Source organism: Homo sapiens, chromosome 5 (assembly GCF_000001405.40).
Source record: "Homo sapiens chromosome 5, GRCh38.p14 Primary Assembly".
Taxonomy (NCBI): Eukaryota; Metazoa; Chordata; class Mammalia; order Primates; family Hominidae; genus Homo; species Homo sapiens.
This window is the reverse complement of record NC_000005.10, coordinates 66,710,500-66,734,536: the sequence shown is the minus strand read 5'-3', so window position 1 is coordinate 66,734,536 and position 24,037 is coordinate 66,710,500. Positions and strand designations below refer to the sequence as shown.

At 39.1% G+C, this 24,037-nt stretch overlaps 1 protein-coding gene across 8 annotated transcripts in view; it reads right to left on the bottom strand.

Moving 5' to 3' along the window:
- The window catches only part of MAST4 (microtubule associated serine/threonine kinase family member 4), a 573,201-nt gene that overhangs the window by 435,057 nt on the left and 114,107 nt on the right, over positions 1–24,037 (bottom strand). The window lies entirely within an intron of this gene.

Sequence of the window (24,037 nt, the reverse complement as noted above, 5' to 3'; positions counted from 1 at the left end):
TCACAGATACATCATTTTCGGCTAAGTTCTTCTATTTATAAAGGAAGGTAAATTGATGCAAATGAGGTAGAAAACAGTTAAGATTAAGAATTTTGAGTGCAATGGATCAATGGCCCACATTACACAATATAGCCTATGATACCCTGGACTCCATCTGATATTCAAGTTCAGGAGCTTCCAAACCAGTGGAAGTTCTATGGATTATTCTTCCTTGCCAGCCAATAACAGTATGTACCAAGTTCCTAATATCTATTATCTGACTTGGTGCCCACAAGTCACTAAAAGCCCCCCAAAAGTCTGCAATCTAATTTGGGAGTTTTAGAAGCCTCACACAGTAACTATGGGAGAATTACAAAATATGCAGATACATACAAGGTCACAGAGTAACAACTTTTCATTTAAAATGCAGAGGTGACATAGTACAGAAGGAGAAAAGCAAAGTTTGAGCCATAAAATTGTTTAAAATTTGGTAAAAAGCAAGGTAACAGAAAAGCTTAGAAAACAGGGATATGTACAGCCTATTATCTTGTCACAAAAGGGTTCATGAAGGAAGTAAGCTTTTAGTTAAATATTGAAGAAATTAATGGTTTTGTATTACTGTATGTCAGTAACTTTCAAAATTATTTAACTGCAAACCATACTAAGACATTTTAGATTATTATCCAGCAGGCATATACCACTAAGTAAACATTTCACAAAGCAATAATTTAGCCATACTACAATGCACATTTTCTGTTATCTTCTATTATAATTTCACTTTAAAAAAAAAACACAAGTTGGCTGGGCGCAGTGGCTCATGCCTGTAATCCCAGCACTTTGGGAGGCCGAGGTGGGTGGCTCACCTGAGGTCAGGAGTTTGAGACCAGCCTGCCCAACATAGTGAAACCCCATCTCTACTAAAAATACAAAAACTTATCTGGGCGTGGTGGCGGGCGCCTGTAATCCCCACTACTTGGAAGGCTGAGGCAGGATAATTGCTTGAACCCGAGGCGGAGGTTGCAATGAGCCGAGATCGCACCACTGCACTCCAGCCTGGGTGACTCACTCGCTTAATGACCCATTAAGCCAATTTTATGACCCATTCATGGGTTCCAACCTACAGAATGAAAGATATCTATAAGATGAATTTCTGTGGTAGGAATTGGTAAATTATCTATCTGAAGAAAGGAAACCATATTTGTAAAAATAGGATTAGAAAACTCTGTGCATGTGTGTGGTGGGGGGAAGAGGGAGGGGAAACGGAGAAAGTTAGAGGGAGCGGGAGAGGAATAGTCAGAGGAAGAGAGAGAAGAGTTGGAGGGAGGAGACAGGGAGACAGAGGCAGGACAACTGAAGGGGTTGTCTAGTGAAAAGTCTTACATGTAATGCCTGTATTTCATAGGCAAAAGGAACCCATTTTTGTTTAAAGCAAAGGTTGGGACAGATTTGCCTGGTAGCTCTGGAGAATGTGGCCTTGGAATGAGACTTGGAGTTGGAAGGCCAGCCATGGAGGTTGAAGCATAAAAAACAAACACAATGAAGGGAAGACCTGGATTATGATGCTGAGAAAAAGGAGGAGTGGGGTGCAGGCAGAAAAAACAGCAGGACTTTCAAATTGGACCAGAAAAAATAATTCTCATATCTTCCAAAACAAGCAGAGCTTTAGAGACCGAATGGCGAAATACTAAGAAGAAAGCTAAAGGAAAGGTGCAGCTGAGCAAGAGATAGAAGCAAGCGGATCAACCCACTCCACAACCACATGGATCTCATCCAATCTACTTATTTTCCTCATGAGGTAGAATAGACCAAGGCTCAAGTGGAAAAAGGGACAATCTCTGTCCCCAATCCCCAACACATCCAGATGCTGAGCATTTGCAGATGGAGTATGCATCTGTTCAGTTTTTCATTCAAAGAACAAATGTTGATTGCCTACATATCGCAGGCACCAGATGTATAAAGTTCACAAAGCATTGTCCTTGCCCTTAAGAAACCAGTCAGAAGCCAGCTTCCTAAGCAAATAACTATAGCACAAAGTGATCAGTGCTAGGAGAGAGGTGTGTCCAAAGTGCTAGAGGAACACACAAGATGCAGCGAGTGGTTCTGCCTGGGTCAGCAAAGGCTTCCAGGAAGAAGAGGCAATGTTAAGAAAAGCTTTTCTATCAGAGGCAACAGTGTAGGCAAACTGGGGAAGCCTGAAAAGTGGGTGGTATGTAGAAGAAATGATGAATGGGGCCAGAAAATGAGGCTTGGGGGAGAGATGGAGAAGGTGGAAGAAAGGGCAGTAGGAAGGAGAGTCTGCCAGAAGAGGAAGTTGGGACTAGTTTGTGAACTAGTCTTCTAACCAGTGCTGACAATGACCAGCAGTAACTGAAAGTCAATAGGAAACCGGACATTGTAAAGCTAAGAAATAGTACAAATTAGGCCCATGCTTCAGAAAGACCACACAAGCAGTAGTCTAGGAAGTGAACTGGATAGAGATGAGTCAGGAAAAGAGGCCAGTGAGGAAGCTGTTGAGACAAAAGGGCCTGCGTGGGACTGGTATCACAGGAAGGGAGAACACTTGGGCAGATACTTGGAAAGTAAAGTGAACAGTCTTCCTGCCTACCTGAAGGGAAGGTGAAGGAGGACAGAGTCACAGATCTCCATGGGGTTCTTACTTGTGGGGAGCAAGGGTGGCTTGGCCTTGAGGAGGAAAGACAGGAAATTTGTTCTTGCACATGTTGAATTCAGGTTGCCTCTGGGACACCTTAATGGATTTATCAAGAAAGCAGGTGAAAATCCAGCTAAGAGGAAGAGGAGAGAAATCAAGCAGAAGCAATCAGTTTGGGGGTTGCAATATAGAAACCACAAGAGAAATGAGAGTGGAGACAAAGGTGAGACAACCACTATTTAAGGAGGGAGGATAGCTAGAAGACTATAAGCCAGAGGAAAAGACTGCCTTTTGTTAACAACAAAAAAAAGTTGGAAGAGAAAAAAGACAAAGTGGTTTTCAAAACCAAGATTAAATGCCATAGAAAAGCTGAATAGAATGATGGGCACCTATTTTTTTCTTTTTCTGTATGTATGTTTTAGAAATAAGCAGATATAACCTAACTAAGCAATAGCATAAGTGAAGGCTGGTGAAGAAAGAAAAATTGATAGGTTGCCATCTCATTGGATGCTCTTGAACCTAGAATCGAGCAAACTCCCAAGAAAGGTGATGTAATTAAACTATCATGACACATTAACTGAAACACCTTGTTCTATATGCAAACGTCTGGCAGATATACCCCAGTGTCTCTGCAGATAACAGATGTTCTGATCTTTGGATATTGCTAAGCTGCACCCAATGCTACTTTATCATAAAGCATGTCATGATTAAACTGAAGTGTTATTATTCAATTGTGTATCCCTATGGGAGCTCCAAAATGCCTCTTAACAACAATTACCTGTGGCCCATCTAAGTTTTTTCATAAACAAAAACTGAAATAATTTTCAGAGGTGGGATAATGCTTATTTTATATAGTATGTATAACTAGGGTAAACTGATAAAGACATACTTGATTAAAGTTCCAATACCTACTTAGGTAGGACTTGATATCTATTTCTATTGCCAATATCTAGACAACTTTAAAAGCCAACTCCCCCATTCTAGTCTCAGTTTCTCATTTTCCAACATTTGTGTAAAGTACTCTTTTCCCTATTTTTTTTGGGGGAGGGGGAGGGGTTGGTATATGTGGATCCATAAAGCAAAATGGCATGTTGTCAATCAACATTTTCTTTCATAATTGAATTCAGAAACACACACACACACACACACACACACAGAGTAGGTAGGCATAAGGGGTATGTATATTCACAGGATGATCCGCTTCAAAAATCTACATTTTCCTTACAGACTTTGAAAGATGTTTGTAATTTAAGCTATCCTGATCTTAACAGATTAATTTGAGGAAAATGTTCTACCTTAACTACTGTTCAGAATCTGTTTAAATTACCACTGATCGGCAATCCGTCATCAGCAAATATGCTTATGTCAAATGCCCTTATAATGAGCTATCACATTTTCAAACATTTTCCTCCATTACCTGACCAGGAGATTTACACAATGCGAACAACCTACCAAGAGTGGAGTAAATGAAATATTGGATCTTGGTTTAAATGAGTAAATCCCATCCTGAACAGTAGAGGGGGTTGGGGGGAATGTATAAATTGAGAAAAGAATTACCTATTCATCTTCATCAGTAGTTGACATCATCATCATTTGGCCTCTAAAAAAAGAGGATGTTTTAATTTGCTGGGAAGAATACATCTCTTCAGGGAGGAGATTTGGGGATTTCACCATGAATAATAATGAAGTGAGCAGAGTTTTCTTCATGTGTAAAATCTAGCTCTAGTCTTTCAATCCAAATGAGATTCTAAGTTGCAGGCAGAGGTCAGGGGATTTGATTTATTTATTCAAGCCCATGTAGGCATCCTTCATCCACATCCACCAGATCTATACTTCCTCTCTCTAAAATTAACATTAAGACAAAAGAAAAAAAATAAAATAATCCCATTCGTATTGGTCAGCTTGTAGCAACAACCCTAGGTTCAAAGAACAACCACTGTTCATGAGGCTGCTCCCTGACAGTCCTCTTGTCATTACCCTACTGCTTTGGTAAATGCAAAACATTCTCTTGGCATCCGTGGCTTGCAATAAATCATTCAGGCTCATGCCAAAGCTTGAAACTCAGCACTTATTAATTTTAAATAAGTTCTGTTACCTATTATCAGTTATGGACAATGACAATATTTCTCTAAGCCCATTATTTCTCCTATGCACCTCAGAAAGCTGAGAGAAAGCAACGATACGTCTAATCTTTTGTGCCTTCCTAATCACGATGGCTTCCCACAGTGGGGGAAAAATTAAGAGGGTCCCAGAACATTATGCAAGTCAGGTAGACAGAATGAGAATCCCAGTAAAGCAGACTTAGAATAAGAGGCCCTCAATATGCAGCATTGATGTGAGGTATAAATCAATAGAGAATGATTAAAACACTGCTCTATGAGGGGCCTGCATAGTTAATATACATTTCATTATGAAAAAAGAATGCTGTAGTCAGACCAAATGTGTGGGCACACTGCTGAACAGAAGCAAAACAAGTACAAAGCTGTTTAAATATATAGAATTTCAAGGCATAAAGCTAATCAACAGCATCATTTATCTAACAAAGCCTGTTCAGATATTTCATTTGTAATGTAAATGTTCATATTAACACATATACCCCCAATACCTGATTTCTAATGTGTTCCATCATTTAACAGATATCCCTTTTCAAAGCCTAGCATTAATAAAAGCTATACTATTCTTACTCAAATCACAGTACAAAATTCATACCTAAATATTCCTAATTGCATAATCATTGCATTCACTGACATAAAACACACACACTTACCCTTCCTTTCAAATGGGTCAGTTAAGTGCTGTTGCACTTCTTTCCCTTTTCTAAAATGCAAATTTAAGAGCTCACTATTACGTGGTTTTGCTTTGACTTCCCTGAGAATACAGTATTTTGTTTACAAAACAGAGAAAAATTATCAAAAAAGCTGATGGTACCCAAGGAACCCAGGAAGCAAACAGCATTCAACAATCTTCTCTCCTTCCTCCCCTCAGGGTAAGCCTCTATCCCCTCCAAGGGACCCAGACAGAAGGGACAGACTTTTGGTGTTATTTCCTTAGAAACTTATACATACCACCTACTGGTATAAAGAAAGCCATCACGACTTCCATTAAGGAGACTTTGCCATGTTTTCCAAAGGAAAATAACATTCCTTCATCTTGTCTTCCACATTTGACTTAAAGGGAACATAAAAACTGGTCCCAATAAAATTCCTCCAGTGAAGGTGTCCTTTGTTTGTTACCTTTCTCCGTAGACTTTTACTAATGATTTGAGCTAAACTCTAACTTGCACTAGTCAGAAGAAATCAATCTCTTAGTCATGACATTTCCATCATTTAAATAAATCTCATGTCTAAAATTTTTTTAGTCATTAGACATGCACTGTAGACCTACGACGCAAAGGACTATAGCAAAAGTAAATTAAAATATTCCATATTATAGATATGTATATGTCATTCACAGGCATAAAGCCAGCACTGTTGAACAGCTTTGTTCACCCTAAGCAAATTCAAAACTGAGGTCCTTAAGAAGCTACCTACGGAACCATCTCAACTTGGATGTATTTTAGTATCCTTCTTCCTGAATTCAAATGCATTTTTATTTTCCATGGAAATTTCTATACTGTTAAAAATTTCAGCACACACCAACAGAAGAACTTTAATTTTAGCTCATTCTATATATGAAAGTGAGAAAGGCTCCATATCTTTCCTAGTGCAAATTAAAATGAGCAAAGTAGGCCAATGTCCATAATATTTTAGTTACAGGAAGAAAATAACAGTAGCCATTTATTTTAAATGTTTCCTGTGCCTCAGACACTATACTTTCTGCATGTTGTCTCATTTAATCCTCATGAAACAATCAAACCCAGTATATGGTATTATCCCCCATTTTAGAGCTTAAAAACCTGAGTTATTTGATCAGAGAAAACCAACAATGGTTTTCAACATGAACCCAACCCAGAGTCCCAGAAGCAAACACCACAGCTGCAGGGGGCTTTCCACTGCAACATTATAAAGAGTGATCCAAGTGAGTCACAAGGAGTTGACAGTGACCCATGACCACAGGCAACACCAAGTAGTCACTAGTTTTGGACCAGGGACCTGTGGACTCCTGACCTCTGAGGCTCTTCCGGCACCCAAAACTCTACCAACTCTGTATTCTAATGAGAACAGGCATTCTGGCAGCAAAGGGAGTAGGAAAAAAAACGATAGCCCTCTCCCCTCCCTCCAAAAAAGCCACATAAATGACATCTGCAACACAAATAACCATCCTTGTGTGCAGCTCTTTAACTGTCTCACCATGTGGCCATCAGTTGGCTCAAGAAGTGCTCAGCACAATTTTGCCTCAAATGTTTCTATAGTGCACTGAACTTGGAAACTATACTTTTTACTGCCCTCCTCCTCTCTCCCCTCCACTGAGTGAAAGGTGTCTGGATACACTGGACCACAAAGAAATCTAATGAGGAAGAAACATCCTGTCCATTGCAGGATAACCTGGAGAAGCCTGTGCAGGTGACTTTCAGACCGTGGGTCTTGACCCATTAGTGGAATCAATGCAGAGTCATTTTGCAGAAACTGAAATAGAATAGCATTTTGCAGAAATTGAAATAGAATGGAAGAGAAAATATCAGAGTATGCTACCATAAGGTAAAATATTGTTTCATGAAAGTTTGTTTCAGCAACATATTTTATGACCAGTTAGTTATGTGTGTGTTGGTAGCATGTGTACCAGGTTGTGATATAAATGTATTTTTCACTATAAGTTTAAAACATACTTGACTCTTCTTCATCTTCATCCCTTACATGCAACCACCAAGTTCTGCTGACTTTTCTTCCTAAATCTATCCTGGCCACTATGTTCCCCTCCCTGTGCACACCACTTCCTAACTAAGGTCACTATCTCTCACCAGAACCATTGGAACAGTCTCCAAACCCTTCTCCACTATATTGTATGGGTCCCCTTAAATCAGCCTCCACCCCTCTGCCAAATGATCTATTTCAACAGTCCCCAACCTTTTTGGCACCAGGGACCAGTTTCATGGAAGACAATTTTTCCACGGACTGGGGGTAGGGGCAGGATTAGATTCTCATAAGGAGCACACAACCTAGATCCCTCGTATGCGCAGTTCATAATAGGGTTCACACTCCTATGATAATCTAATGCCACTGATCTGACAGGAGGCAGAGCTCAGGTGATAATGCTCATTTGCTCGTCGCTTACCTCCTGCTGTATGACCTAGGTCCTAAGAGGCCATGGACCAGTAAGAACCTTAGATCAGGGGTTAGCGACCCCTGATCTATTTGAAATGCAGACCTGACTCTGTCAGTCCCCAACTTAAAGGCCTTCAGTGTCTATAGAATCAAATCAAAGTTCCCTTAGCATGGTGTACCAGGTACTTCACAAACTGACCCCAAGCATCTTCCAAATTCAACTGCAACTCCAGCCTCAATAACTGCTCAGTGGGAACACCCAAGCAGCTATCTTATCATTTCCTTGCCTCTGTGCTCTTCCTCTGCCTTTGAGATTCCACTCAGGAGTCTTTTCTTCTAGAGAGGCTTGCTGGAACCTTGGAATGTGGTTAAGTGAATCTACTTTGGCCTCCAGCATACTCTATTTCTACATCTCTCTGCTCTCCTGCCCCCAAGAAAATTAGATTACCTATACACCTGCCACTTCCACTAGGCAAGAAGGATTTTATCTACCTCCTCCAAGTCTTAAACATCACTTCAGTGAGACCCTCCCTCCCTTCCCTGACCACCTTAGCTAAATTTTCAATCTATCATTGCCTCCCCACCCCTTTCCTAGCTCCCTCCATTGGTTTCTCTTTTTTCCCCTTATTACTATAATCTAACTTATGTGTACATCTTCACACACACACACACACAAAATGTTCATATACGTATAAAGATTTTAACTTATTATCTAGTTTGTGTGTATCTCCACAACCAGGAATGCCAGCTAAATTATTTGTCTGTTTTATTACTGTTACAAAAGAGGCACTCAAAAAATACTTGCTCAATGAATAAATGAGTGAATATCATCAACATCAGAGATTACACCTATTTCAACCGGCACATAACATAGTGAATCCCTGGCACATATCATAGTGCCTCCTGCAGAGTTGGTACACAATAAATATTTGCATTTTAAAAAGTGAAAATGGAAACTCACATATGATGCATTCTTTTTGCCTCATATTATCTCATTCAATAGACACAGAATGGAAAGAAATATAAGGCTAGACAGACCAGCTAGCTGACCAAAAGATATCAGAAATGTTATAATATCACACACCTGCAGTACAGGCAGCCCATCTAAGAAGTTTTAGAAGTCAGAGAAGTGTCTCTTGGAAGTTAATACTATTTTGAAAAGATATTCTCTTTTTCAGCATGAAGGTACAAAGGACAGGGCTTTTAGTATCCACATTTTGAGCATTCATATTTGTTGATAATAGAACCATTAAAGCTCAGACAGCAGCTGAAGCAAGTGAACCATCAGGCATCTTATTCTTTGGGGAAGGAGGCTTTTATTTGACAACAAGTCATAGGCACATCCAATATTTATGATCATTTTAAAAATCAAAAATGTAACGAGAAGGATAAACTATGCATGTGTTCTTTAAGTTTAAATCTCACATGTATTAATTTTTATTAAAACACAAATTTGTAAACAATACTTACAATTAGAAAAAAAGCATAAAGCCATCTTTTAAACTTTCTGAGGAAAAATTAATGTTTTGATTTTTTTAAAAAAGTATACAGTATCACTTTGTCCTTAAGATATCAATTGAACAAAATTGGCAGAAATTTAAAAATTAAAAAAACAGAAAAATCATATGACCAGAAACACCACTATTTCTTTAAAATGAAATAATATTTCATTAAGAACAAGGCAGAATTAGCTGAAAAATAAGGAAATAATAATTTTAAGCATTCTCAAAAAGAAAAGAACATGCAAAAAGAAACAAAGGGATGGCTGTGGCCTATAGAGGGAGCCTAATCTTTGAAGCCATCAACTAGTAAGATTTCTTTAAGTAAAAATTATTGACCATTTAAGATACAGTCAGTGCTGTATAATGTTTCAACCAACCACAGCCCACATATATTATAATTATATATTATAAAAGATTATAATACCATATTTTTGCTGTACCTTTTCTATGTTTGGATACATTTAGATATAAAAATACTTATGATTGTGTTACAACTGCTTACAGTATTCAGTACAGTAACAAGCTATACAGGTTTGTAGCCCAGTAGCAATAGGCTATACCATATAGCCTAGGTATGTAGTAAGCTACACCATCTAAGTTTGTAGAAGTACACTCCATGATGTTTGCGAAATGACAAAATTGCTTAATGACATGCTTCTCAGAACATATCCCCATTCATGAGTGACACATGACCATAATACTATTTGAAAAGGTCTCACATTTCATAATACATAAATACACTCCCCTGTTACCAAGCTAGGGCAAGAATGATCCAAATCAAAATCCGTAACTCATCACAAGTGGCCAGAATCCCACCTGGATAATTTACTGTATTTGAGTTTAGAACTTGTTTTGTGACATGCTAGTTAACCAGGGTTGACAGGTCAATACACAAAATCATGCCCTGTATTCCTCTGTGCTCCACACCTTCTAAGTGTATTTTTAAATCAACAACCTACAACTAAAATATCACGAATCAAATGTTGTTGTAACTGTTGTAAAAGGAAAGAGAATACAGTGAACTGAGCTCTTTCCTCTGCTAGGAAGAAAATTAATACCTTGCTTGGTAAAGTGGGCCAACATGCAATCAGCATGTTTGCTAAGAAATAAAATGAGAATAATTCCACTAAGAGTGCCAATTTTATATTTTATATTCTTGAGTCAAACTTTTAAAATATCCCCCTTGTTTCCCTTCAACTCACCATCCCCAGAAATATCCTGGCCATGTATTTGGCAAAGAGGGGTGGGGGTATAGTGAGGTAGTCCAGCAACTGCTTAGGGGAGAATCTGCCTGACGTAAATTTCACCATCACCAAATGTTCTTCCTACAAATGAGACTGAAACAAACCAGGAAGTCATAACCTGCAATGTTTTAACAAAAATGTAATTTTGTTTAAAGTAATTTGGTCTTTCCTCTTAAATGATCTGGGTGAGAAAAATTTTATACAAGAATCTCTGATTAAAAAGTAAAAAGGAACAATCTACTTAAGATCATTCCTTGAAAAAGCACACAAGTAGCACCTCCAAAGACTCCCAGTTTTATGGATTCATAAAGCCATAATGAAAGCTCAAATTTTTCATAAGGGAACAGGCACTTTCCATTAATAAATCAAATTCTTCTCATCTCGATATGTGATCAAAAATAAAAAATAATTAGCATCTTTCTCATCAATTAGGTTTGATGCCATTGTTTAAAAATTCCAGAAGGAAGCCTTCTGAAAGGGCAAAGTCAGCAGTTCCATAGCTAACCCTTCTTTCAGCAATTATAGTCTACAGCACTGACACTTCTACAGCAGTGGAACAAACTTAGTTCTAGGCTATTTCTCATGACATTTAATAAATAGGGCTTAATATGAGAGAGCAAGATTCCAGAATCTAAAATAGATCCCACTGTGTTTAGGAAGAATCATTTCAATTACTAATAGAAAGAAGAACCCTTTAGGACTGAGAAATGGTCAACTAACATTCTGGACAAGGGCTTCCAAGAACTTATACCTTAACAGATTCCTGATTTAAAATGGTACCTAAGTTCCTGGTGCTACTTCTCCCAATTTCTCACTGAAGTGCCACTGAAGACGTAGGAGTAAATATTCATATCACCTCCAAAAACCAAGGCTGCTGAAAGCACAAATTACTGCCAGAATTTGAAAAGCACCCACTGTGATGAAAAGGCAGAAATATACCCATGCTTCTGCTTATAACACCCTCACTTCACTCCATTAATAGATTTTATTTAAAATGGAGGGAAGTTGCCTCATAATTCCACCACTTCCTTGATTCAGACACATCCCTTTTCAACTACATATCTGGCAGGTGTCCCGTTCTCCGCCTTAGACTCTGACTCGGAAGTAAGGAGGGTATCTCTCCCCAGACACCTCTCCCTCGCTATGCAGCTATGATTGCCTCCCTAACCAGTCATCTCTCTCCACTCAGAAATAGATTACAAATCCCAGAAAACTAGTTAGAAACTAAGTACAATGAGGATGCTGGATATAAAATGTTATGAGCTGCAGCCAATATTTCTCGCAGCAAAATCATAGCCTTAATTCACTCATTTATTTGACAAATATTCATTGAGTTCCCTCAATGTTCCAGGCACTGTTCTTTGTGCTTGGGTCACATTAGTGAAAAACAGAGACACAGATCCCTACCCTGCTGGGATTCACATTCTGATGAGAGAGGTGGACAATAAATAAATAAAAATTATATAATTTGATAGATAATTTAAAATACTATGTAAAAAAAAAAAAACCCAGAACCAGGTAAATGAGTAAGGAGAAGGACTACAGTTTAAACAGGTGGTCACTCTAAGCCGCATGGAGAAGATAACTTTCGGTGAAGACTTAAAGGAGTTAAGGGAATTAGCCCCTACATAGGGTAAAAATTTCTACACAGAGGCTCAAAATAGCCAGGAGGCAAGAGCATGGCACATCTAAAAAACACGGAAAGCATATGGCTGGAGCGGAATGAGGGACAAAAAATAGGAGTTGGTAAGGTCTAAGGAGTAACGGGCCAAGTCAAATGTAAGAATTTTGGTTTTTACTCAAAACTTCAGAGGTTTGAGCAGAAGAGTGGTCTGGCTGACATCTCAAAAGGATCACTCTGGCTGCTCTGTTGAGCATACACCATGGGGGTGGGGCAGGTGGCAGAGGGCAGGGATGGAAGCAAGGAGACAACTTAGGAGACTACAGCAGTACTTGCAATGAGAAATGGTTGCTTTTAGACCAGGGTAGCAGCAGTGCAGAAGGTGAGAAGTGATGAGATTCTGGATGTATTTGAAGGTAAAGCAAAAAGAGTTGCCCAATAGCCTAGATACGGAGTATAAATAGTAAAGAATGATTTCAATATAGCCTCAGCAACTAGCAAGATGAAGCAGGCATTTCCTGGGATGGAGGAGTCCAGCAGAACAGGACTGGTGGGTAGACAAGAAGTTCAGTTCAGAACACAGATTAAGTTGGAGGTACCTACCAGGCATTCGAGATGTTGAGTAAGCAGTCAGATGTGCACATCTGGAGTTCGTGAGAGATCTCAGAGCTAGTGATATAAATTCGGGAGCTATAAGTTTATAGGTGGTGGCCATTATACTAGATCACAAAGACAGGGTAAAAATAGATCACAGAGAAGGACTATGACTACACTCTGGGACTCTAACATTAAGAGGTCAAGGAGAAAAGGAAGAACCAGCAAAGGAGAGTGAGAAGGAGCAACTAGTGAGTTAGGAAGACAACTAAGACTTGGAGGTGTCCCAGAGGCCAAGTGAGGACCACACATTACAAAAGAGTGAGAACTTATTGTGTCATGCCAGATGAGGCCTGAGAATTGACCATTATGTTTCAATGACCAGTGGAGAGCGGTGATTATGACATTGACAAGAGTAGTCTCTACAGAGCAAGGGATGAAAGCCTATAGTCTGGGTTCAAGAGAGAGCAGGGGGAGGTGAATTTGAGACAAGTATAACTCTAGAGGAATCTGACTGCACAGCAGAGCAATAAAATTGCAGCCATCTGATGAGAAAGTGGGGGCAAGAGAAGCTTAATGGAAGATGAAACAATGACAGCATACTTATGTGTGGACACGCACAATGCAGGAGAGAAGGAAAGTCTGATGGTGTAAGAGGTGGGGAGAAACGCCAGGAGGTTTCTTTTGACTAGGTGAGAGGAGACAGGATGGGGAACAGGAAAGGACTGGCTCTAGGCAGAAGTGTGAATAGTTACCTAAGACAACAAGCAGGAAGAGAGAGTGGGAGTGGCGATGCTGAAATGGGATGGGGGAGTCTCTGGACGCTCTCTTCTGTTTCCATTTTCTCACCAATGCAGGCATCAAGGTCATCGGCTAAAAGCAAAGCTGAAAGGACAGATGTTTAAAGTTTGAGGACAGAGAAAATGAGAAAAAGTCACCTTAAAAATTATTAAACAAGAAAATAAAAAATTATTCCACTCAACAAGCTGAAAAAACCCCTGCCAAATAAACTTCAGGGAAACAAAAGAAAGAATCATTAAAAAGATAAAAGCAGAAATTAAAGGATTAGAATATAAACAGTGGAACAGCTGGTTCTTTGAAAAGATCAATAAAATACACAAACCTCTTGCGAGGCTCATCAAGGAAGAGAAAAAATACAATTATACAACATAGGAAATAAGATGGATAGAGCCAAAGAGACAAAGGAAATTTAATACAAGTATACAGAATATATAAAATTTCATGCTGAAAATTAAAATACATTGAATCAAAGAGACAATTCCTAAGAAAATATAAATTATCAAAATTTGATTCACAAAGTAGACTCTGAAAAATTCAATAACTATATGGAAATAGACAATGCTGACAATGATTTACAGGGGACACTATCAAATTTTTTTTAATGGAATTTTTATGCTATTGAAAATGTTACATGGTACAGAAAAATCAAGGAAAGTTTCCCCATTTCATTTTTTACAGAAGTCAGCATAACGTTGGTATCAAAACTTCAAAAAATTGCACAAGAAATATGTGACCATATTGTTAAATACCAACATTCCATTTAAAAAAATTATCATTCCTGATAAAAAAATTTTAATAAACTCATATTAAACAATATGTATCACTAATAAACATCTGAGACCCTATTTCACAATGAACTACCGAAGGCCTTTGCGTTAACCTCAGAAATACGTAAAGTGCTTAATAAGCATTAGCTGCAGTATTAATGGTATTACTATTATTACATTTGAACAAGAATATCTGTTCCTACTGCTGATACATAACTCTCTATAAGGATAACTCTTCCCTCTCCTCAAAGGAGGTAATGGTACAATGACTATGACAACTGCTTGAAAATTCTCGAGCATAAATTCAGGCAAAGTAATTACAAATCTTTCTGAAACAAAAAACAAAACACAAATACTTTAAGGAAAAAAAAGGTCTGGTTTAATTGCATTTTGTTTCAACAATGTAGTAGATCTTAGTGTTTGCCCAAATTTCAATGAATTAAGAAAAGCAGGGGGTGGGGAACAAGGGGAGGGAGAGCATTAGGACAAATACCTAATGCATGTGGGGCTTAAAACCTAGATGACGGGTTGATGGGTGCAGCAAACCATCATGGCACTTGTATACCTATGTAACGAACCTGCACGTTCAGCACATGTATCCCAGAACTTAAAGTAATATAAATTGAAAAAAAGAAAAAGAAAAGCAAATCTGTAAAACACTGAACAATAGGACAAGATTTCATCTCATTTTGTAAACAATTTACAATAATGTATAACCCATTAAACACTTGGTCTTAGTGTTTACTCAGCTGATAGTTTACAAATAGGAAATTCTTCAGCCTAGAGAAGAAAACTTTTAAAACTCTTATTCCTCCTTCCCTGCCCTGTTTCTCTGTGATTTCCCATTGGGAAGAAGATTCGTAAGGGAAAAAAAACTAGTTTATATTTCCTCCAAAAAAGAATAGTTATATCTTTTCTTACAACTCATTAGGTTTGAGAAAGCTTTTAAAATAGCCAAACAAGAGGAGGTACCCAAGGCGGTGCCTTTTGGTGGTGGTTAGACCTACATCAATGCAACCTCACACTGGTCCACTGTAGCTGGATTCTTAGCCCCCAAAAGGAAAATAATTCCCAAACATATGCAGTTCACTTCCCATAACTCACCCCAACCATTCTGCATTTGAAATACCTGCCGCTTCTCCTCTAGACACTTTCGGAAATTGGATGTTGCTTAGGTAATGCTAGTGTATAACTCTGCTTGGTGTTAAAGACCAAAGAAGAGGGAAGTTACAGTCTACATGGTTAAGCATGTGAATTTACAAAGCTATTACTAAGAATGACGCCAGGTCATGCTTTCAAAATGCAGAGCTGCACTCACAAACTATACTCGAAGTCAAGCAAGAAGCACAGAAGAGAAATGGAATAGCTCGAGAGGGAACAAGAGGGAACAAGCCCTCGAATGCATGATACAAAAGAGGAAGAAGATTCAAGGAGGATAACGAAGCTTTACAGGAACTTGGCTTTACCGGAACAGAGCACATCCAGACAAACTTGGGGAGATGAGGCATTAGTAAAAAACTCAGTGATATTTCTCAAAACAGCTCAGTTCTCTTATTTTCAAACAGAAAAAACAACACTGTAATAGATATCTTTCAGGCTGTCCACAAAACCCTCAGGCCCTTTCTCTGAAAAGGCTATATACCACATGACCTTGCCAGAGCCAGGGGCCCTGAGACAGATACCACCACACACGGGGCCAAGCACACTCACTCTCATATCAGCCTCTCCTGGGCACCTGAACTGGCCCAGGCACTCATGGGGTCCTCAGGTTCAGGAGGCACCAAAAGAGACTTCACCATACAAAAATGCCAGCATGTAGAAGAAGCCGTGTGTCTAAGGAGCAAGATGACATCATAACTTAATCATTTATACCGAAAGACAAGCTGTAAAAGGTGCTTTGAAAACAAAAAAACAAAAAAACAAACAAAAAAAACCTTCAAATAGAGTCCCTCTCATTTGCTTATGCTTTTTCTCAGCAAAGCAAAAAAAAAAGAAAAAAAAAAGAAAAAAAAACCCACTGGTTTTAAATATATATAGTCTGTCTCTGTGCATCTCATCCCATAGACTCTGAAAAGAGCCTTTGAAAGAGACATTTTTTTTTTAAAGCACACAGGATGTAAGCCACTGTGCAATGGCCAAGAGCAACAAAATACTGTCACAGCTGAAACGCAGTCCCTCATGTCCCAGTGAGAACTCAGGGATGGAGGAAGGCTAACAGCTGTGGGGAGGTGGTAGGAACCAGGCTTAGACCCAGCGGTCCCACGGCCTCCTTCCTTCCCTCAGGCAGTGAGCAGGGCTATGCCTAACTGGGAATGACTGAGACAATGAATACCTGGGACTAGCCAAATGATACCAGGAAGAGATAATCATCTGGAAACGTTTTATAAATATAAACATAAGGGAGATTAGCTGCAGCCTCCACCACACAAATCTGAGGCCAAGGGGTGGGGGAACAACACCTTAGACTTCAATGCTAGAAAGAATTTATTTTCCTAACATGGAGATCTATTAAATGCCTAGCAACCTCCCCAGGGAAACAGTAGCAAAGCCACTTCAAGTGGAGTGAGAAACTCATTTCTGAAAGCCTTTTTCCAACTTGGGAAATTTAACTCTATGCCTTTGTAACCCCAAGGGACTGCCTGGCTGAGACTGCACTAGGTGTAACCATATGTCAAAATTAATACATTGGATATGGTACTCACCCACAATTTGCTAGAAAACAGTCAAAACTAAAAGTGCCAAAGGAGGCCTTTCTTTATGAATATAGGCATAGCTACTAATTTATAATAGTAAAAATATCCACTTTGACCTTTGCCTACATAAGAAAATTAGAGAAGAAATGTTTTAAAAACCATAGAAATAGGCATCTCCCTGCCTCCTTAACCCCTAATTCAAGAATGATGGCTCTCTTTCTATCTTAATAGCAGCATTTTTGCCAGGAATGAATCCCTCCTCTCCACCTCCAAGCCACAGAGTATAGGGTAGCCTCCTCCCTCACCTGGCTGGATAGTCCTGGGCCCATCCTGGGTCTCCATCCTCCAGGGCTCTGCTTAGCCTGAAGTCCAGGCTCCTCTAGGAAACGCTCCTCTTCAGGGTCCAGTGTGCCATGGAAAGCCTCGCTTCCCTCCCGCTTAATACTCATCGCCTGGGATCAGAAGCGCTGGTCTCCCCCTACAGAATGAGCTCCTTGAGGGAGAACTTTGTCCTCTTCACCTGTGAGACCCATGCATAATGCACTAGGAGACATGTGTTTGTTGAATGGATATTGCTTGGCTTATTGGGAATTCAGTCAAAACAGAAGGGAAAGATATAAATGATAAAGGTGACATCAGTTCTGGTCATGGTACTCTACTACAATGGTTAATGTAGTCAAGGTGATAGCCAAAAAACACAACAAACAAGGGATGTATGCTTCTATCATGAGCCCTACCTGTCCAGGTCAGATGCCCTGGAGAAATGGTCTACAAAGAATTTTAAAATCCATATATCTTCTAACACAATTTAAAGACAAAATCTAGGCTGGGCACAATGGCTCATGCCTATAATCCCAGCACTTTGGGAGGCCAAGGTGGAAGGACTGCTTGAGGCCAGGAGTTCAAGACCAGCCTGGGTAATATAGGGAGACCCTGTCTCTACAGAAAAAAAAAAAAAAATTTTTTTTTTAATTAGCTGGGCACGGTGATGTACACCTGTAGTCCCAGCTACTCGGGAGGCTGACATAGGAGGATTGCTTGAGCTCATGAGTTCAAAGTAAGTGTGATTGCATCATTGCACTCCAGGCTGGGCAACCGAGTAAGACCCCCTCTCTAAATACACACATACATACACACATACACACACATAGAGAGAGAGATCAAATCTAAAATTGTTCATCCTAGGTTTAAATAGTGGCATGGTATATAATTTCTTGCATACTGTAAATAATGAAATTTTAAAATGAAACTGCTTTTATTCAAGCTTTTAAATGTATCCATTGTTATTTAAAATACATGAACAACCTTCCCTTTTACGCTCAAATTTTTATAGTTCCTTTTTTTCCCTTAAATTTATATTTCCATTCCATTTCTCTCACAGAATTTTATCCTAATAAAACACTTTTATGTTTTAGGGTTTTTTATTGATCATACTATCATACTCCTTCTGCAACAAAAATAGTTATGAAAATTAAAATGTATTTTTTATTTCCTGTGACCAAATGGTTCTAAATGTTAAAAATTTAATCTAGATTATCATTAAAACTATTAGTAGAATGCAATTTGAGAGAACAAATGTATAATTTTATAATGATTAAAAGTTAAAGCATTAAAGTAAATTTTTATTGGAAATGCATTCCTCAATGAGATGGATAGGATAATTTGATATCTGTATCCATAAATGAGTATTTTTATTGTCAGAATAAGCAATATTTCAACAGTAATTCCACTCCATTTTTTTTTTTTTTTTTTCCTGTCATGGCCTGAACCAGTCTTTCAGGTTAAATTTTTTTTTTAATTTTTATTTTATTATTATTATACTTTAAGTTTTAGGGTACATGTGCACAATGTGCAGGTTTATTATATATGTATACATGTGCCATGTTGGTGTGCTGCACCCATTAACTCGTCATTTAGCATTAGGTATATCTCCTAATGCTATACCTCCCCCCTCCCCCCACCCCACAACAGTCCCCGGTCCACTCCATTTTTTGGTATTAAAGTAAAAGCCTTGTTCATGTAAATAAGTTGATGGGAATGAAAGAAGTGTTGTGATAGCTGTGGCCCTTAATTCTTTAAATTCCTGAGATTTATGCCAAAAAAATCATCAACACATTACATGATAATCATCATTTTTTGACAAACTGTTCAGGGTCATGTTCAGTTTTGTTTAAAAAAATTAGAAGACATTTGATTTGCAAAAGGACTAATTTCTAAGACATTAGATTCATGCCCTCTATACAACAATCTTCTCATTTTCCCTTTTTCTGGCACCCTGAGGAGTGGGGATTACTTCCTGTGACTACATGACATGATGAGATTTGGGAGAGGTAAAGCCAGGCAACCCATTAGTCCAGTTGTGCTCCAGGTGGATCTGTTTTGGGAAAGAGTATATAGGGAAGCTGAACATCTGAAGTAATTTCCTTGTTACTCTCCATGGGCCCAGTGCCTCTTGGAAAGTCATCATGGACCCCAGGGGTAGCATAAACCCATATCTGTTGACATCAAAGACCAGTCTGCCAGAGGTCTGTCCTTAGGTGGGGGAAACAGATTCAAATACCAATGGAAGGAGAGAATGTACGTGAGAGAAGCCAAAGCTTTACTAGGGCAGAGGACCAAACAAGCCCAGCAAAACCACAGGTAGGACCTGTGGGGACCACAAAGTACCACAGACAGACCAGACTGTTTCTCCAGTGACCGGAAGTGAGCAGGGGCTCCCACTCAGTGTGCGGCAAAGCAACAATTCATTATCCAAAAAGTGGTATTGTTTAAAAAAGACAAAAAAGCAGTAACAGCAGAAAAAGCTATGGAAGAAAGTTGTAGGTATTATATTCAGTTATGCATTTAAGAAAATGCAAGGAATTCACTTTCAGTGGAGAAACAAGATTTGCCAGCAGAAGGAAACGCCAAGTATGAGCACAGGACCAAAGTAAAATTCAGATGAAGAAGGGAAAACAATGACTCGAATCACTGTGCTGCAGGATTCATCCAGGCCTGTCCAGACAGTGGCACATCAAGAGAGAGGTGCTCAATGTTATCTTCATAAATAGGAGGTCTGTTCTTCTCAGTTCCTAGATTTTTAAAGTCAGAGAGCCTCATTCTTGTGTTCTCTTAGGAGAAAACACCAAAACCTAATGGACAGTTTCGATGATACAGGCACAGGCACAGAGACTGGTGGCTAGTGAAATCTCCTAGGCCACCAAGAACATATCCATGCGCAACTAACAAAGGGCCTGATTTTCACACCCTCAGGTGACTCATGTCTCCCCCTTGCATATTAGGTGTTTGAAAAAGACCGGAGACTAAACAGCAGCTTGGGTGAGTCATCTGTGTAGCCAGAGAGAGGCAGTTTAGCAGAAAGACTAAGTAGAGGGACTTGGTGTTAGACACCTATGTGTGAATGGTGGCTCCTCCACTTACCATCTGGGTGATCTTAAAGCTCTGTGTCTCAACTTTCCTATCTGTAAAATGGGAATACAAAAGTACTTTCATCATGGAATTATCATCAGGATTAAATGAGTTGAGATATATATAAGGTATTTATGAGAGTATCAGGCACACGGAAATAAATTTCAGCTATTGTGATTGTCATCACTGAGACAGAACTAGACCATCATGAAAAAAATAAGACGCCATCTGGTCCAGGCCTCATTTCTAAGTCTTCAGATCTAAAGCTGAGATCACCAAACTAGATTAGAACCTCAGTTCTAATTCTCCACTTGTCTCACCAGCCATTGCGGAAAGAGATAAATACTGACAACTAATATACTAATAAAAGCATCACAATATACCCCACAAGAGGGCATATTACGAAACGTTTGCAATAAGTAATGTACAAACTAAAACCTTTTTAAAAAGTTATAGTAAAGATGTTGATTCAATTGAAGAAGAAATGCAACGGAAATGGAGGAGGGTAAACAAGCCCAAACTTCATAGTGTAAAATATTATTTGAGTAATGTATTTCCTAATATTTGAGTAATATATTCATGTCTTGCTTGATACTCAACATAAGCCAGGTAGAAGGGTGAAGTAATTATAGAGCTCATGCTCAGGGGTATCCATACACTGGTTATTTTAACCTCAAAACTAAATTTCAGCCACTCTCAGTGCTTCTTCTACTCATATTCTATGGTCCCATCAGTCTCAGCCTGTCCTCCCCAGATCACCATCAGCAGATTACTGTGTGACCCAGGAAAGGTACAGGGCTGTTTGAGGAAGGAGAGCGGGGTACCTTCCAGGTGGGCTGTGTGCCCCAGAGCAAAGATCTTGACCTCTATATGGTACAAGGAGAACCATTACCCATACAAACAAGATTAGTATTTAAATAAACAACAAAAACAAAAAAACAAAGACCAAAAGAAAGAAGAAATAAGAAGCAGATTGTTCTGCTACATGCTGATTTAGAGAAGTAAAAAAAGGTAAGAACAGGGGTAGGCATGGGGGAATATGTGGAGAGATCCAGATGGAAAATAAGTACATCAGGGACAAACATTTTTGGATGAATCCCACTGACACTGTTCTCAGTTACCAGAAACTATTTCTTATATTGGGTTCCTTGATGTGAAATTTAAGATTGCAATACTGCAAATCAACTTTCCCTAACGTATAGGTTTCACTAAAACAAAACCAAATAGGAGCAAATTCAACCCATTTTCTGATAGTTTTTATTTCTCTATAGATAGGTCTTTGTGGAGTGAATACTCAAAGACATACTAGTGGGTTTATTTTTTCCTTCTAAAAGGAAACTTCTCATTACTTTTTCGGCAAAGAACATTCTGAGTTATGATTCATTCCAGAATTTTCAAAGGGTATTTCCTGGAACTCTATTTCTTTGAGATATCAAAAGAGGGAAACTGAGTCAAAGTTCAATCCACTTTGGCAGACATAAAGCAAACAAATATAAAGTTAAACAAGATTAAGACCTTTAATGTGTTCATCAGCAGTGTGAGGCTCCTAGCAAGGTCCAGTAATTCATTTGATAAAATAAGACAAATAAGTCTTTTCTCCGACAGTCTCTGCAGATTCCTATTCATCTAAACACACTTTGGAAAATCCTGGAATACATACAAAGGATCTAAAATGGGGGCTAACAATGGGTGTAATTCTGGAACAAAACTGCCAGGTCCAAACTATGCTCTATTCTTTATAAAAGACATCTGGCACCCTCATATACTACTAGCAGGGGCAGAAGTTGGTACAACCACTTTGGAAAACTGTTTGACATTATGTTCTAAGGTTAAACTTACATTTACCATGTGACTGGTTCCTAAATATATACATACCACATAAGTGTGCATTGTGTATGTACACACTAGCAGGTGTGTATAACAGTCACAGAACAACATGCACAAGAATACTAAGAATACTCATGCAGCATGATTAATAATAGCTCCAAAATGAAAACAACACAAAAAGTCCATCAACAGTAGAACGGATAAATGATAGTATCTTCACACAACAGGTATGGCAATCTGAAAAATGGCCCCCCTAAATATCTACATCCTAATCTCCTGAACTGGTGAACGTTATTCTATGTGCCAAGAGACTTTACAGGTGTGATTAAATTAAGGGTCTTGTGATGGGGAGATTATCCAAGATCATCCAGGCAGGCCCTGAATATAATCCAAAGCATCTTTTTTTGGGGGGTGGGGGGCAGAGTCTCACTCTGTAACCCAGGCTAAAGTGCAATGGCATGATCTCGGCACACTGCAACCTCCGCCTCCTGGGTTCAAGCAATTCTCCTGCATCAGCCTCCTGAGTAGCTGGGATTACAGACGCCCACCACCATGCCCAGCTAATTCTTGTATTTTTAGTGGAGATGGGGTTTCACCATGTTGGCCAGGCTGGTCTCAAACTCCTGACCTCAAGTGATCCACCTGCCTTGGCCTCCCAAATTGCTGGGATTACAAGCATGAGCCACTGCTCTGGGCCTCAAAAGCGTCTTTCTAAGGAGGAGGCAGGAAGAGTTGATGACAGAAGAGGAGAAGGTGATATGAAAAGGCAAGAGATATTGGAATTATATGCTTTGAGGATGGAAGAAGGGGCCACATGCCAAAGAATCTCGGCGGCCATCAGAAGCTGGAAAAGTCGAGGAAATTGATTCTTCTCCCAGACCCTGCAAAAGGAATGAGCCCTGCCAATACCTTGATTTTTGCCCAGTGAAACTGATTTTGGACTTCTGACCTCTAGAAAGACCTTTCAGAAAAGAAGTAGCTTGTACTGCCTTAAGCCACTAAGTTTGTCATAATTTGTCACAATCACAATAGGTAAATAATAATAGAATGGCATAACCATGCAGAAATGAGAAAGAATAAACTATTGCCACACACAACAAGGATGATCCTCATGGACGCAGCATTTGGTAGATGAAGCAAGACACAATGGGACATCCCGTATGATGACATTTATATAGAGTTCAAAGAGTAGCGAAACTAATCCACAGTGTTAGAGGTTAGTGTTCATCTCAGGGAAGAGGCACTCACTTGAAGGAGATGAGGATGCTTCTGGAATAACTGCTTTCTTAATATGGGTGCTGGTTACACGGGCATATTCACTTTGAGAAAATTCATCAAATTTTACACACATAATGTGCATACTGTTCTCTCTACATATGATACATAAAGAACAAATTTTTTTAAAAGCTACATGTTGTTTTAATTATTAGATTCAAATGACTCATAGAATAAATCCCTTTTGGGGAAGCACCTCCTGGGAGCAATGCCAGAGCTTGGCCGTTCTCACACAATAAGGGAAAGTTAAGACCACTGACAACCCAGACGGCGGGTCCACAAGAGAAAGAATTACATTCCTGGCAAACCAACCAACCAATGCTTCTCACAGAAGGAAGATACCTATTTGTGAATAAAAAAGACTCCATAACCTAGATTTTTCCCCCAAAAAATCAGCCTATTATTTTATATAACAAAAGTAGAATAAGAATTTAGTGGCCAAGTCCAGGGAATTCCCTGGGCTACGGAAGATGTA